We start from the raw sequence: 11,888 nt of genomic DNA, 5'->3' as shown, positions 1-11,888 counted from the left end.
AGCAAACACATCCGTAGAAGGCAGCGCGGCCGCCGAGAACCGCAGCGCCGCTCGCCCGCCGCCCCCCACCCCGCCGCCCCGCCCGGCGAATTGCGCCCCGCGCCCCTCCCCTCGCGCCCCCGAGACAAAGAGGAGAGAAAGTTTGCGCGGCCGAGCGGGGCAGGTGAGGAGGGTGAGCCGCGCGGGAGGGGCCCGCCTCGGCCCCGGCTCAGCCCCCGCCCGCGCCCCCAGCCCGCCGCCGCGAGCAGCGCCCGGACCCCCCAGCGGCGGCCCCCGCCCGCCCAGCCCCCCGGCCCGCCATGGGCGCCGCGGCCCGCACCCTGCGGCTGGCGCTCGGCCTCCTGCTGCTGGCGACGCTGCTTCGCCCGGCCGACGCCTGCAGCTGCTCCCCGGTGCACCCGCAACAGGCGTTTTGCAATGCAGATGTAGGTAAGGAGCGGCGACCCCAGCCCCCGCGCGGGGCCCCACCTCCCCCGCGACCCCGAGGGTTCGCAGACGCCCCGCCCGCCCGCCGCTGGCCGAGGGACCCCAGCGCCCGCCTCCTGGTCCCTCGGCGCCTTCTCGAATCCTGCAAGTGGACGCCCAGAGCCGACTTTCTTTCCCCCCTCCCTCCTCTCCCTTTCTTTCCCTCTCTTTGCCGAGATGCGTCTCAACCTCAAAATTCCACCGAAATTCCGCCGCAGCTCCAGCCCCAGGAAAGGGAGCCAGTTTGGCTTTTGGCAGGCGGCGCGCCCTGGGATGCCAGCGCTGGGGGCGGGGAGCGTGGGGGACACGGCGTGGGGGCGGGGGGCTGGAGGACTGGGGACCCCAGGAAGAAACTTTCGCAGATAAGGTGGGAGTTGGGCTTCTCTGGGCTTGGGGCTGGGTGGGGAAGGGCTTCTCTGCTGGGGCTTCTCCCACCAGCCCCATTTGGGGGCTCCCCGATCAAGCCAGGGTGGGATGGAAGCCCGCCCTACCCGAGGCAGGTTCCACAGGCCCAGAGGGGCAGGTGAAAAAGCCGGTGGCGTCTCCTGGCGTGGCTCCTTGCTTGCGCCCTGCCCAGGAGGCCCTGCAAACTGGCTGGGCAGGGACCGGGACCCCCGAATGTTCCGCTTTTTCGGGACGTCCACAAAAGCTGGAGACTTTGGTGACCGGACCCGGCACGTGGGACTGTGCTGCTGCTCAGATTCCCCAGCAAATACCCATGACCTCCGGACTCCTAGCCCCCAAAAGACAGGCGCCATGGAGGGAGGCAGGAGGGGCCCAGTTATTTGTTCTGATCCATGGAGGGGGAGGACCAGCAGAAATGGGAGGAACCCGCTGGCTCGAAGTTTCCACCCTGGTCCTGCACCTCAAGCCTCTGCAGCCCTGGTGCTGGTCAGCATGGTTTTCCTGGGGCAAGTCTGGCTACACGGCAGGTGGTCTCGGAGCCCCCTGCCCTCCTTCCTTCTTATGTCTGAGTCTCAGTCGAGTGACCTGTCCAGGGCAGATGGAGCAAGGCGGGGGCCCCCTCACCTGCCCAGAGTGGAGGTGGGACTTTCTGTTTCTCCTGCTGTCAGCCACGCCCTTCCCATACCCCGCCCACGGCTTCTTGCCCCACCCCGGTTAGCCCTAGGAGCTGCGTGCCCAGCTGGGGAAGTTTTCAGTTGCACCAATCTATTGAGATCACAGGTCTCAGGTGGCTCAGGCCACCTGGGCGGAAGGCTTGGTGTGTGCCTGTGTCAGTTTCCACAAAACCCAGTTTGGGGGAAATGAGGTCTTTTCTCCAGTTTAGCCTTGGTGCTCAGCAAGATTTGTGGGTGAAGGAGAGGTTCCTTTGATGAGGGAGCCATAATGGGCCTTTCTCTGGGGGTCCACGAGGAGTGCAGGCCTGTCCAGGCTCCTTGGCTCACCAGCACGTGCTGGGGCAGGATGTAGCCAAGGCCCAGAAGGAGGCTGTGGATAAAAGGACCTGGGAGTTGGATTTGTAGGAGTTGGGCCTTGGGACCCCTCCCCCTCCCGCCCCCCCCCCCACCCCGCCCCACACACACACTCCTCAGCTGTGTGGGAGAATGTCCAGGCAGCCACTCTGTCCTTGCTTGGCATAAGTTAAGGCGGCCACTGAGCTGGGAGCTGTTTCTGCGTGGGGTGTGGATCCAGGATGGCAGAGGGTGGAGGGCTGCAGTGCGTGCCTCCCGCCTCCTTCATGCTCAGCGCAGCACTCTCCTCTTCTGGGTTGCCTGGCATTTGTGTCTAAATCTTTGCATCAAAATCATCCTGTAGCTAAAACTTTTCACCCCATCCCGGCTCAGAGGCCCAGTCAGATGCCAGAGTTGCACTGCAGAGCTCAGGGCATTCGCTTCCTGTGGCCGCTGTGACAAACTACCACAAATGGGAGGGCTTAAAAGAACAGGAATCGATTCTCTGTAGCTCAGGAGGCCAGAAGTCTGAAAAGGTGTCCACAGAGCCAGTTCCTTCTGGGGGCTGTGAGGGAGAATCTCTTCCAGGCCTCTCTCCTTGATGTTGCTTGGTTCCATTTTCAAGGAACACATCACTTCCATTTCCGCCTGTCTTCACATGGCCTTCTCTCGTGTGTCTCTGTGTCCAAATTTCCCTGTTCTTTTTTTTTGGAGAGCAGGCTGGAGTGCAATGGCGCAATCTCGGCTCGCTGCAGCCTCCGCCTCCTGGGTTCGAGCAATTCTCCTGCCTCAGCCTCCCAAGTAGCTGGGGTTACAGGCACCTGCCACCACACCCGGCTAATTTTTTGTATTTTTAGTAGAGACAGGAATTCGCCATGTTGGCCAGGCTGGTCTCGAACTCCTGGCCTCAGGTGATCCGCCTGCCTCAGCCTCCCAAAGTGCTGGGATTATAGGCGTGAGCCACCGCGCCCGGCCAAATTGCCCTGTTCTTCTAAGGACAGCAGCCATTGGATTTAGGGCCCACCCTAATCCAGTATGACTTCATCTTGATAGATCAACAAATACTCTATTTCCAAATAAGGTCATATTCATAGGATCTGACTAGATGTGCATTTGAGGGGGGACGTAATTCAGCCCATACACCAGGCTGCCTTCTCTTATTCCCAGTCACCCTTTCCGTGCTCAACCAACTTGGGATAAACAACCCAGGACATCCCAGGGTAGGGTCCCGGAACAAATCCCACAGGGACGACAGCGGCCTGTCTATTCTCCAGTGTTCGATTCTCCTCGAAGCGATGCAGGTTTGTGACTTTCTCAGCAATGGTTCCCCATTCTGGCTCAGAGCAGAATTGCCTGGAAGATTCTTAAAGATTGCTCAGGTCTAGGTCCCTTTGCAGATACAGAGGGTCTTGCTCAGACTTCGGCTTTTGCAGTTTTAAAAGGCCCACAGGTGATTTAACCAGGGCTGTGACCCAGGGGTCTCAGAAAGGGGGTACAGTGGAGGTTAATAAAGGCTGGCTTGTTATGTGGCAAGCTGGCTCCTTTTACTCTTGGCTGCATGCAGCCTTGTTAAATGGCTTGGTGTCTACAAGAGGCAATTGGCTTAAGAAACAGTCAGATTTCTGTCTGCCCGGCTGAGGATTTCTGGGAGGTATCTCCCTAGCAGCTCTTGCAGTTGGTAGGACCGGAACTGTGGTCGGCAAAGATAATTCATGATGAGGTGGTGATGTTTAGGATAAGGGATGGTAAGAGGTGACCTGATTTCTTCCTGGAAGGCCCCAGGTCCTTGTCCTTTCCAGCAAGGCCAGCACAAACGGGAAGCATTTTGTGTCTCAGTTACAGTACTGTTCAAATGCGCTGCTGGCCCGGCTCCCTCTCACCCAGTGAAATCCTTCACATCTACTGCCAGCCTGCACAGCTACAGGGATCTGGCTGGAAATTAGCTTTGGGCTCACCATTCAGGCAGTCCCATGCCTGGAGCCACTTAGCCAGCTGAGCTACTTGGCAGACTCGGGCTGCTTGGGCCCGTTTCTGGACTCAAGGGTAAAGCCAGGAGCTCTCTGGATGCAGAGAATAAAACCTCTCCTCTGGCTTGGGTGGCAGTACCTAAGGCCACACATTATCCTAGAAGACCTCTGCGATGACATCTTCCTCACATGTTCCCACCTCCAGAAACTGTCCTCTGCAAATCCCCCGAGGAGCTCCAGCTCCAGCTAGAGAGGGGTCCACAACCAAGAGGGGGAACAACTGCTATTTTCTGGGGTGAACAGCCAAGGGTGACCTGGTTCCTGGGGGACACAGTGACAGGGACCAGACAGATAGTAGGGGCCACCCCAGAAAACACACAGCACGCAGTCAAAAATGGCTCTGTCTTCAGGACACGTGCTCAGGAAAAGCAACACAGCATCAGATTCATGTGAGCTGGGTCAGGCCTTCCATGCGAGGGGGCGGCGTGGCGCTTTTTAAAGAAACTGTTGGCAACTCGTTGTGCGAAGTATGTGATCGATCTGTATTGTCAGTTTTGTTCATCTTGATTTTCATATTGGGCTTGTCTGTGTTTCAACAAGCAATTATGGAGTGGCTGCCTCTGCCCCCGGGGATGTAAGGGAGAAGCAAGACATTGTCCCTGTGGTGGGGGATGCAGGGGGTGGTACATCTTGGCACCAGGCGGTGTGGAAGGGGGTTCCTGCTGCCCGGCGTGGTGAGCAGGCCTCCCCTCCTCAACTGCCCAGGTGTGGTATAAAGTCAGTCCACTCAGTGTGGTTTCGGTAAATAATTAACAACAGATAAACTTTCGAAATAACCAAAATTCAGGAGTAATCATGTGACAATGTGAAATGCATTTGCAAGATGTGAGGATAGAAGGCCCCATGGTAGGTTGAGGAGGGAGCTGTGGGGAGAACTGAGGCTCTTCGGCTTGGTTTTGAACAGCGTCCTTGGAGGGACAGGATCTGTCAGGGGAGTCACTGACCCCTGAATTACTGGCAGCTCCCAAGGCAGGGGGACTGGAAGAGCAGGGAGAGCTGTGCACAGCCTGGAGGTATGGCAGGTGCTGGAAGGAGCTCTCTGGACAACACACGTTTCTCCCTATCTGGGATCTGAGGACAGTGCCAGCCTCAGAGCCTCTCGGGCCTCCCCTATTTGCACCCTTCTGGGGGTGCAGAGCCACGTACGCAGTCCTGGCCTGTCGTTTGTGAGCTGCAGGTGGGCTTGGGTACTGCCTCCCTCCTCCCTGCTGTCGCAGCCAGGTTGCTAGGTAGATGCCACTGGTGTGGGCTGAGAGGTTCAGACTCTGTGGCGACATCTGAGCACATGGAGAACAGGGCATAGATGACTCCTGGGAGACTGAGAGGCGCGGGCAGCCGTCTCCAGTCCTGATGCAGAACCACTGACTCGATGCAGTGGGGGTCGTGTGTAGGGGTGAACGTCTTGGGTTCGGAAACAACAAAGAGGTCTGCCCGAGGCTTCCCAGGCAGCTGCGAGGAGGGATGCAACAGCAGGGAGGAGGAGATAAGAAGGAAGCAAAGACAGGCAGACGTGGCAGTGGCAGGGGCAGGAGGGGTGCATGCCCTGGACACTCTCTCTGTCCCCCGGTGCACGCACAGGCTCACAAACCAGGGACGGAGGGCAAGTGGCTGCATGGCTAGGATGGTCTTCTTTTCTTTTTCTTTTTTTTCGAGATGGAGTCTCACTCTGTCTCCAGGCTGGAGTGCAGTGGCGCTATCTTGGCTCACTGCAAGCTCCGCCTCCCGGGTTCACGCCATTCTCCTGCCTCAGCCTCCCGAGTAGCTGGGACTACAGGTGCCCGCCACCATGCCCGGCTAATTTTTTTGAATTTTTATTAGAGACGGGGTTTCACCGTGTTAGCCGGGATGGTCTCGATCTCCTGACCTCGTGATCCGCCCACCTCGGCCTCCCAAAGTGTTGAGATTACAGGCTTGAGCCACCGCACCCAGCAGATGGTCTTTTTCAAGAGGGGAGGGCAGAGTGAAGAAATCAAGGTAAGGGAGGGTGAAGAAGCCGCATCTGGAGGACGGCACTGGGGACCGTAACCCCTGGTCATTTAGCGGCAGCAGGGTGGGGTGTGCACAGGTGTTCTAAGCCAAGGGACCAACTGCCCCAGGAAAGGTGAGAGTTCTGGGTACAGAGTAGGCCAAAGAGGAGCCTGGGGATTCAGGGGGACCCACAAGGAGATTGGGGCCAAATGTCACGGCTCTGGCTTGTCATGTGACATCTGCATTCCATCCCGGGACCCACGCAGCCACCAAAGATGTTCTGGCTGTGGAATGACAGCGGGCGTTGCCCAGGGAGCCTGGTAGAAGGCAGCCGCCTAACTCCGCGTGCTGGAGCGGGCCTGGGGGTGGCACTGGAGTTTCAGGACTCTCCAGGTGCTGCTGCCGCCCGCCAAAGTTGGCATAGACCAGTCGTCTCCGGAGGGGTGCCCAGTACAGCCTCGGTGCTAAGAATGTTATGAATAGTTAGCATATGGATTCAGAGTTGTACTCCAAATATAATTTTTTTTTTTTTTTTTGAGACGGAGTCTTGCTGTGTCACCCAGGCTGGAGTGCAGTGGTGCAATCACAGATCACTGCAGCTTCAATTTCCTGGCCCAAGCGATTCTCCCACCTCAGTCTCCCAAGCAGCCACCACGCCCAGCTAATTTTTTTAATTTTTTGTAGAGATGGGGTTTCGCCATGTTGCCCAGGCTGGTCTCGAACTCCTGAGCTCAAGTGATCTGCCCACCTTGGCCTCCCAAAGTGCTGGGATTACAGATGTGAGCCACGGTGCCCGGCCTATATATACTTTTTTAATGAATATCTGATATTGTGAGTGCTTGGCCAAGGTTTTGTTTTTGTTGCCCGTGGGTCTGAACAGAAAGTGTGGAGGCTGACCACCTCAGTGTCGGGGGGTGGAGTAAGCAGGCAGATGAGCTGCCCTGAGATTGCTGGGAGGAGGGAAGGCGGGCAGACCCAGACTTCCCAATGGAGAGATGGTCAGGAGCATGGATGTCTCAGAGTGGCAGGCAGGATGAAGCTGGTGTCCCCAGGACCTCCCAGGGCCCACCTGCCTGGACCCCTGCAGCCTGTGCCCTGACGCCCTGGTGCCCTCGTGCATTTGCTGGGACGTGGCTGTGCAGCGGCAGAGGGAAGGGCACAGAGACCCCGCCCCGATGATTCCCACCTTACAACTGAGGGCTGAGCTACTCCCCAGTCAGCCAGGTCAGACTGGAGCCCAGGGAAAGCTTCCGGAGCCCCAGCAAGTCAGGTTGAGAGTGTGTTTACGCTAAGAAGCAAATTGAGGAACAGTCTTTATAAAAGAGGGGTCCTAACCCAGAGTGTGTGAACACCCAGCCAGAGATAGGCCTGGCGGGTTTGGGGGTGGTCACAAGCCCGGAAACTGTAAGTGAAGTTGTGTGTGTGTGTGTGTGTGTGTGTGTGTGTGTGTTTGTGTGTGCACGCGTACGTGTTTTTTTTGTGGACAGTGGCAGCCGCCAACTTCTCAAAGGTGCCTGTGGCCCTCCAAACGTCAAGTCACTGCCATTTAAAAGGAGTCTTTTTATAGGTTTCGAGTCTTCTGTTTCTTGTGAGTATCTGCCTAGTCTCGGAGCTGAGCGATGGTAACGATCTTGCCTTTCTCTCCTCTTCCACCCTCATTCTGCACTCGGCCGCCCTGGGCAGCCAGGATCCGCTCAGACACTACCACCACGAGGGGAGTCCGAGGCAGACCTGTAACCAGCTCTGGGGAAAGGATGCCATCAGTGTCCTTTGGCCTCCTAGCTGGTCTCAGGGATGGCTCCAAAGACCTGGGAGGTTCTGTGGTTGTCTTCCATGGGGAAGACGTCCTTGGTAGACGGCAGCTGCTCTTTGATCTCAAACTCTGATCACAGCTGGACCACACATGGCCTGAGGGAACTCCAGACCTCACCAGTTAGGAAGGGCCTGGTGTCTATGTCTTAGATACCTGCTTCTTACAGAATTTATTCACTTAAGTGTTTTTATATTTTGTTTTACAATAGAATTTGGGTGCCTACCGTACACAGAAATACTATGGCAAGTGTGTCAAGGAATTATTTAGTTTTCTGAGACGGAGTTTTGCTCTGTCGCCCAGGCTGGAATGCAGTGGTGCGATCTTGGCTCACTGCAACCTCCGCCTCCCGGGTTCAAGCAATTCTCCTGCCTCAGCCTCCCGAGTAGCTGGGATTACAGGTGTGTGCTGCCATGCCCAGCTAATTTTTGTATTTTTTTTTTTTTTTTTTTTTGAGACGGAGTCTCGCTCTGTCGCCCAGGCTGGAGTGCAGTGGCGGGATCTCGGCTCACTGCAAGCTCCGCCTCCTGGGTTCACGCCATTCTCCTGCCTCAGCCTCCCAAGTAGCTGGGACTACAGGCGCCCGCCACTACGCCCGGCTAATTTTTTGTATTTTTAGTAGAGACGGGGTTTCACCCTGTCGGCCAGGCTGGTCTCAAACTCCAAAGCCATGGTGCCCATCTTCAAGGAAGTGAGCGCAGGAATGCGAAGATCATCTTGCAGGCTGCACCTCTTGCTAGAGACTCTTACCGAGGTTAGGACACTGTTGAGATTGTGGGCCCTGAGGGGTGGATCTTATCAGAGCTAAGATAAGCCCCGAGGAAAGGTCCTGGGGTGGGTATGGGGAGCCCAGGGTGGCTGTGGTAGAGAGTGTACCACAGGGGGACAGAGTCATTAGAACAAAGTATGGCCAGGCTTGAGCCCAGGTGGAGCAGCAAAGCCTGGAGGCCCGGCAGTGGGACCTGGCAGTGGGACTCCGGGGAAGGCTTTATGGCCCCTGCACTGGGGGAGAGGGGGCAGACAGGAGGGGGATGACACTGAGGAGGAAGGTGGTGTTGAGAGGCTCGCAGTTACCAGGGGAGCAGAGCTCCCACCTGCACTGGGGAAGACCCAGGAGATGGAAGGCAGGCCCTGAGCGGGGCCATGGGTCGCGGGCAGACACAGGAGATGCCTCTGGAGCTTGACCCAGTGCCTGGGAGCCAGATGCCCTCTAACCTGGTCAGGAGCTCAGGCGGGTAGAGGTCTCTGTTGAGTTCTGCTGGAATCTGGTGACCAGAAAGTCTCGGCGAGAGGGATTTGAGCTAGAACTTCAGCAGACAGTGGAAATTGTGTAACGGGGCCTTGGAGGGAACAGGAAACGGAGCATTGAGGGGGAAGGGAGCCAGCAGTAGCGAGGGGAACTGACATTCATAGCAAACAGGGTGAGCGGGGGTCAAATGCTGGCCCCAGATTGAGTCCAGCAGAGCGATCCGGGACAGGTGGCCTCTCTCTGCCCCCACTTCCACACCTCCAAAAAGGAGAGGCGAATTTCCTGCCTCCCAGGAAGCTCTCGGAGCTAGTGGGGGACACCAGCTCTTTCTGCATCAAACCCTGGCTCTCCCTGTCTTTGTGTTCTTGTTCCTCCCCACCCCGCCCTGAGGGAGGCCTGGGAGCAGCCAGGGAGGTGAATCATGACATGGTGATAATGACTATGGCAACAATAACAGCTGGCAGAGGTGCCAAGGGCTTGGAGGTATGTTCTTGCTCTTCACTAGTGTCAACCCATTTCCTTCCCTATCCTCATCCCCATTGTACAGACGATCCAACGGAGGCACAGGCCCACTAAGGAACCTGCTCAGGGTTAGCTGGCTAGGAAATAGCAGAGTAAAAGAAGAGATGGTTTTTAGGCCGGGCACGGTGGAATCATGCCTGGAATCCCAGCACTTGGGGAGGCCGAGGCATGTGGATCGCCTGAGGTCGGGAGTTCAAGACCAGCCTTGCCAACATGGTGAAACTCCATGTCTACTAAAAATAAAAAAATTAGCTGGGCGTGGTGGTGCACGCCTGTAATCCCAGCTACTCGGGAGGCTGAGGCATGAGAATCGCTTGAACCTGGGAAGCAGAGGTTGCAGTGAGCCGACATCGCACCACTGCACTCCTGCCTGGGTGACAGAGTGAGACTCTGTCTCAAAAAAAAAAAGAAGAAAAAAAGAGAGAGAGACGGCTTTTAAAAGGAGGTACATCAACAGAATGGTGCTGATTCAGACTGATACTGGCTTGGGGATGAATGGTCTAGGCTGTGGAGCTGGGCTGAAGCTCTACAGGTGACGGATGGAGCCACTGAGGAGGGAGAGGAGCTCCTGAGGCTGGCCTTGTTCATGAGGTTTGCCTGTCTGCTGGAGATAAGCTAAATCAATTAATCTTTCTCCCTGCCGCAACAGAGTGAGCAGACATTTCAAATGATATTACAGATTTGTGTTTATGACCTAGAAAAATGTTCAGAGCACAGTACTTTCAAAAGCCCAGACTGGGCCGGTTGCAGTGACTCACGCCTGTAATCCCAGCACTTTGGGAGGCTGAGGTGGGTGGATCACCTGAGGTCAGGAGTTTGAGACCAGCCTGGCCAACATCATGAAACCCCATCTCTACTAAAAATACAAAAATTAGCTGGGCGTGGTGGCGGGCACCTGTAATCCCAGCTACTCAGTAGGCTGAGGCAGGAGAATCACTTGAACCCGGGAGGCGGAGGTTGCAGTGAGCCGAGATCGTGCCACTGCATGCCAGCCTGGGCAACAGAGCAAGACTCCGTCTCAAAAAAAAAAAAAGAAAAAGCCCAGACTGGCCAGGCGCGGTGGCTTACACCTGTAATCCCAGCACTTTGGGAGGCTGAGGCGGGAGGATCACTTGAGCCCAGGAGTTCCAGATCAGCCTAGGCAACATAGCAAGACCTCATCTCTACATAAAATAAATTAAAATTTTAAAAATTAGCCAGGGGTGGTGGCACGTGCCTGTAGTCCCACCTACTCGGGAGGCTGAAGTGAGAGGATCACTGGAGCCCAGGAGTTTGAGGCTGCAGTGAGCTATGGTTGTACCAGCCTGGGGGACAGAGCAAGACTCTGTCTATAAAGAAAAAAAAAACAGCTTGGCTGGGTGCAGTAGCTCATCCCTGTAATCCCAGTGCTTTGGGAGGCCAAGGTGGGTGGATCACCTGAGGTCAGGAGTTCGAGACCAGCCTGGCCAACATCATGAAACCCCATCTCTACTAAAAATACAAAAATTAGCCGGGCATGGTGGCGGGTGCCTGTAATCCCAGCTATTCAAGAGGCTGAGGCAGGAGAATCACTTGAACCCAGGAGGTGGAGGTTGCAGTGAGCCGAGATCGGGCCACCGTACTCCATCCAGCCTGGGAGACAGAGCGAGACTCCATCTCAAATAAATAAATAAATAAATAAATAAATAAATAAATGAATAGCCAAAATTTCGAAGGCAGATGAATGCCAATAATGTTCTCAAGAAGCAATAAAACATTGGGTTATAACCTGTGCCTCTGAGGACTCAAGGGGAAGTCAGGCAGGCCCCAGCCAGCGTTAGTCGCAGCTGCCTGCTCTCCCAGGTCAGCCCTTGCACCCTCGCAGAGGAAGCCGTCCCTTCCGCCTCTCTCCATCATAAAGAAAACTTCTCTGTCTCTCCATTCACGTCCCAAATGCCTTCTAACTTTAAAATAATTACACAACTATATGTGTTAATCATGGAAAAGACACTTAAGCAAAAAGCAAGAAAAATCATCCTGATTGTATCCATTGCCTAGAATTTTTTTTTTTTTTTTTTTTTCCCCGAGACAGAGTTTCGCTCCGTGGCCCAGGCTGGAGTGCAGTGGTGCAATCTTGGTTCGCTGCAACCTCCGCCTCCTGGGTTTAAGCAATTCTCCTGCCTCAGCCTCCAGAGTAGCTGGGATTACAGGTGTGAGCCACTGTGCCCGGCCTATGTTTTTTGTTTTTTTTTGTTGTTGTTTTTCTGAGACAGGTTCTTGCTCTGTCACCCAGGCTGGAGTAAAGTGGCATGATCATGGCTCACTGCAGCCTCAGCCTCCTGGGCTTAAGCAGTCCTCCTACCTCAGCTTCTCAAGTAGCTGGAACTATGGGACCATACCAGCACACCCAGCTAATTTTTACATTTTTTGTCGAGACGAGGTTTTGCCACGTTGCCCAGTCTGGTCTTGAACGCCTG

The 11,888-nt window shown here is 55.7% G+C and overlaps 1 protein-coding gene across 1 annotated transcript in view, besides 4 other annotated features; it reads left to right on the top strand.

Annotated features, from left to right (window-relative positions):
* The window catches only part of TIMP2 (TIMP metallopeptidase inhibitor 2), a 72,411-nt gene continuing 60,523 nt past the window's right edge, over positions 1-11,888 (top strand). Inside the window, exon 1 of the mRNA NM_003255.5 lies at positions 1-429. Within this exon, the coding sequence (NP_003246.1) occupies positions 300-429 (130 nt within the window). The 5' untranslated portion in view covers positions 1-299. The remainder of the gene's footprint in view (positions 430-11,888) is intronic.
* Positions 1,772-1,841: an enhancer, noted in NCBI's record as "active region_12914". NCBI's record gives its function as "activates an Ori minimal core promoter by ATAC-STARR-seq in GM12878 lymphoblastoid cells {active_cell/tissue: GM12878}" and the evidence as "EXISTENCE:reporter gene assay evidence [ECO:0000049][PMID:35858748]".
* Positions 5,710-6,685: an enhancer, noted in NCBI's record as "H3K4me1 hESC enhancer chr17:76914785-76915760 (GRCh37/hg19 assembly coordinates)". NCBI's record gives its function as "activates a minimal SCP1, AML or CMV promoter by ChIP-STARR-seq in naive H9 embryonic stem cells {active_cell/tissue: H9 hESC(naive)}" and the evidence as "EXISTENCE:reporter gene assay evidence [ECO:0000049][PMID:30033119]".
* Positions 8,136-8,831: an enhancer, noted in NCBI's record as "H3K27ac-H3K4me1 hESC enhancer chr17:76912639-76913334 (GRCh37/hg19 assembly coordinates)". NCBI's record gives its function as "activates a minimal SCP1, AML or CMV promoter by ChIP-STARR-seq in naive H9 embryonic stem cells {active_cell/tissue: H9 hESC(naive)}" and the evidence as "EXISTENCE:reporter gene assay evidence [ECO:0000049][PMID:30033119]".
* Positions 8,832-9,527: an enhancer, noted in NCBI's record as "H3K27ac-H3K4me1 hESC enhancer chr17:76911943-76912638 (GRCh37/hg19 assembly coordinates)". NCBI's record gives its function as "activates a minimal SCP1, AML or CMV promoter by ChIP-STARR-seq in naive H9 embryonic stem cells {active_cell/tissue: H9 hESC(naive)}" and the evidence as "EXISTENCE:reporter gene assay evidence [ECO:0000049][PMID:30033119]".

This window comes from Homo sapiens, chromosome 17 (assembly GCF_000001405.40).
Source record: "Homo sapiens chromosome 17, GRCh38.p14 Primary Assembly".
NCBI classification, from domain to species: domain Eukaryota; kingdom Metazoa; phylum Chordata; class Mammalia; order Primates; family Hominidae; genus Homo; species Homo sapiens.
This window is presented reverse-complemented; position numbering and strand designations above follow the sequence as displayed.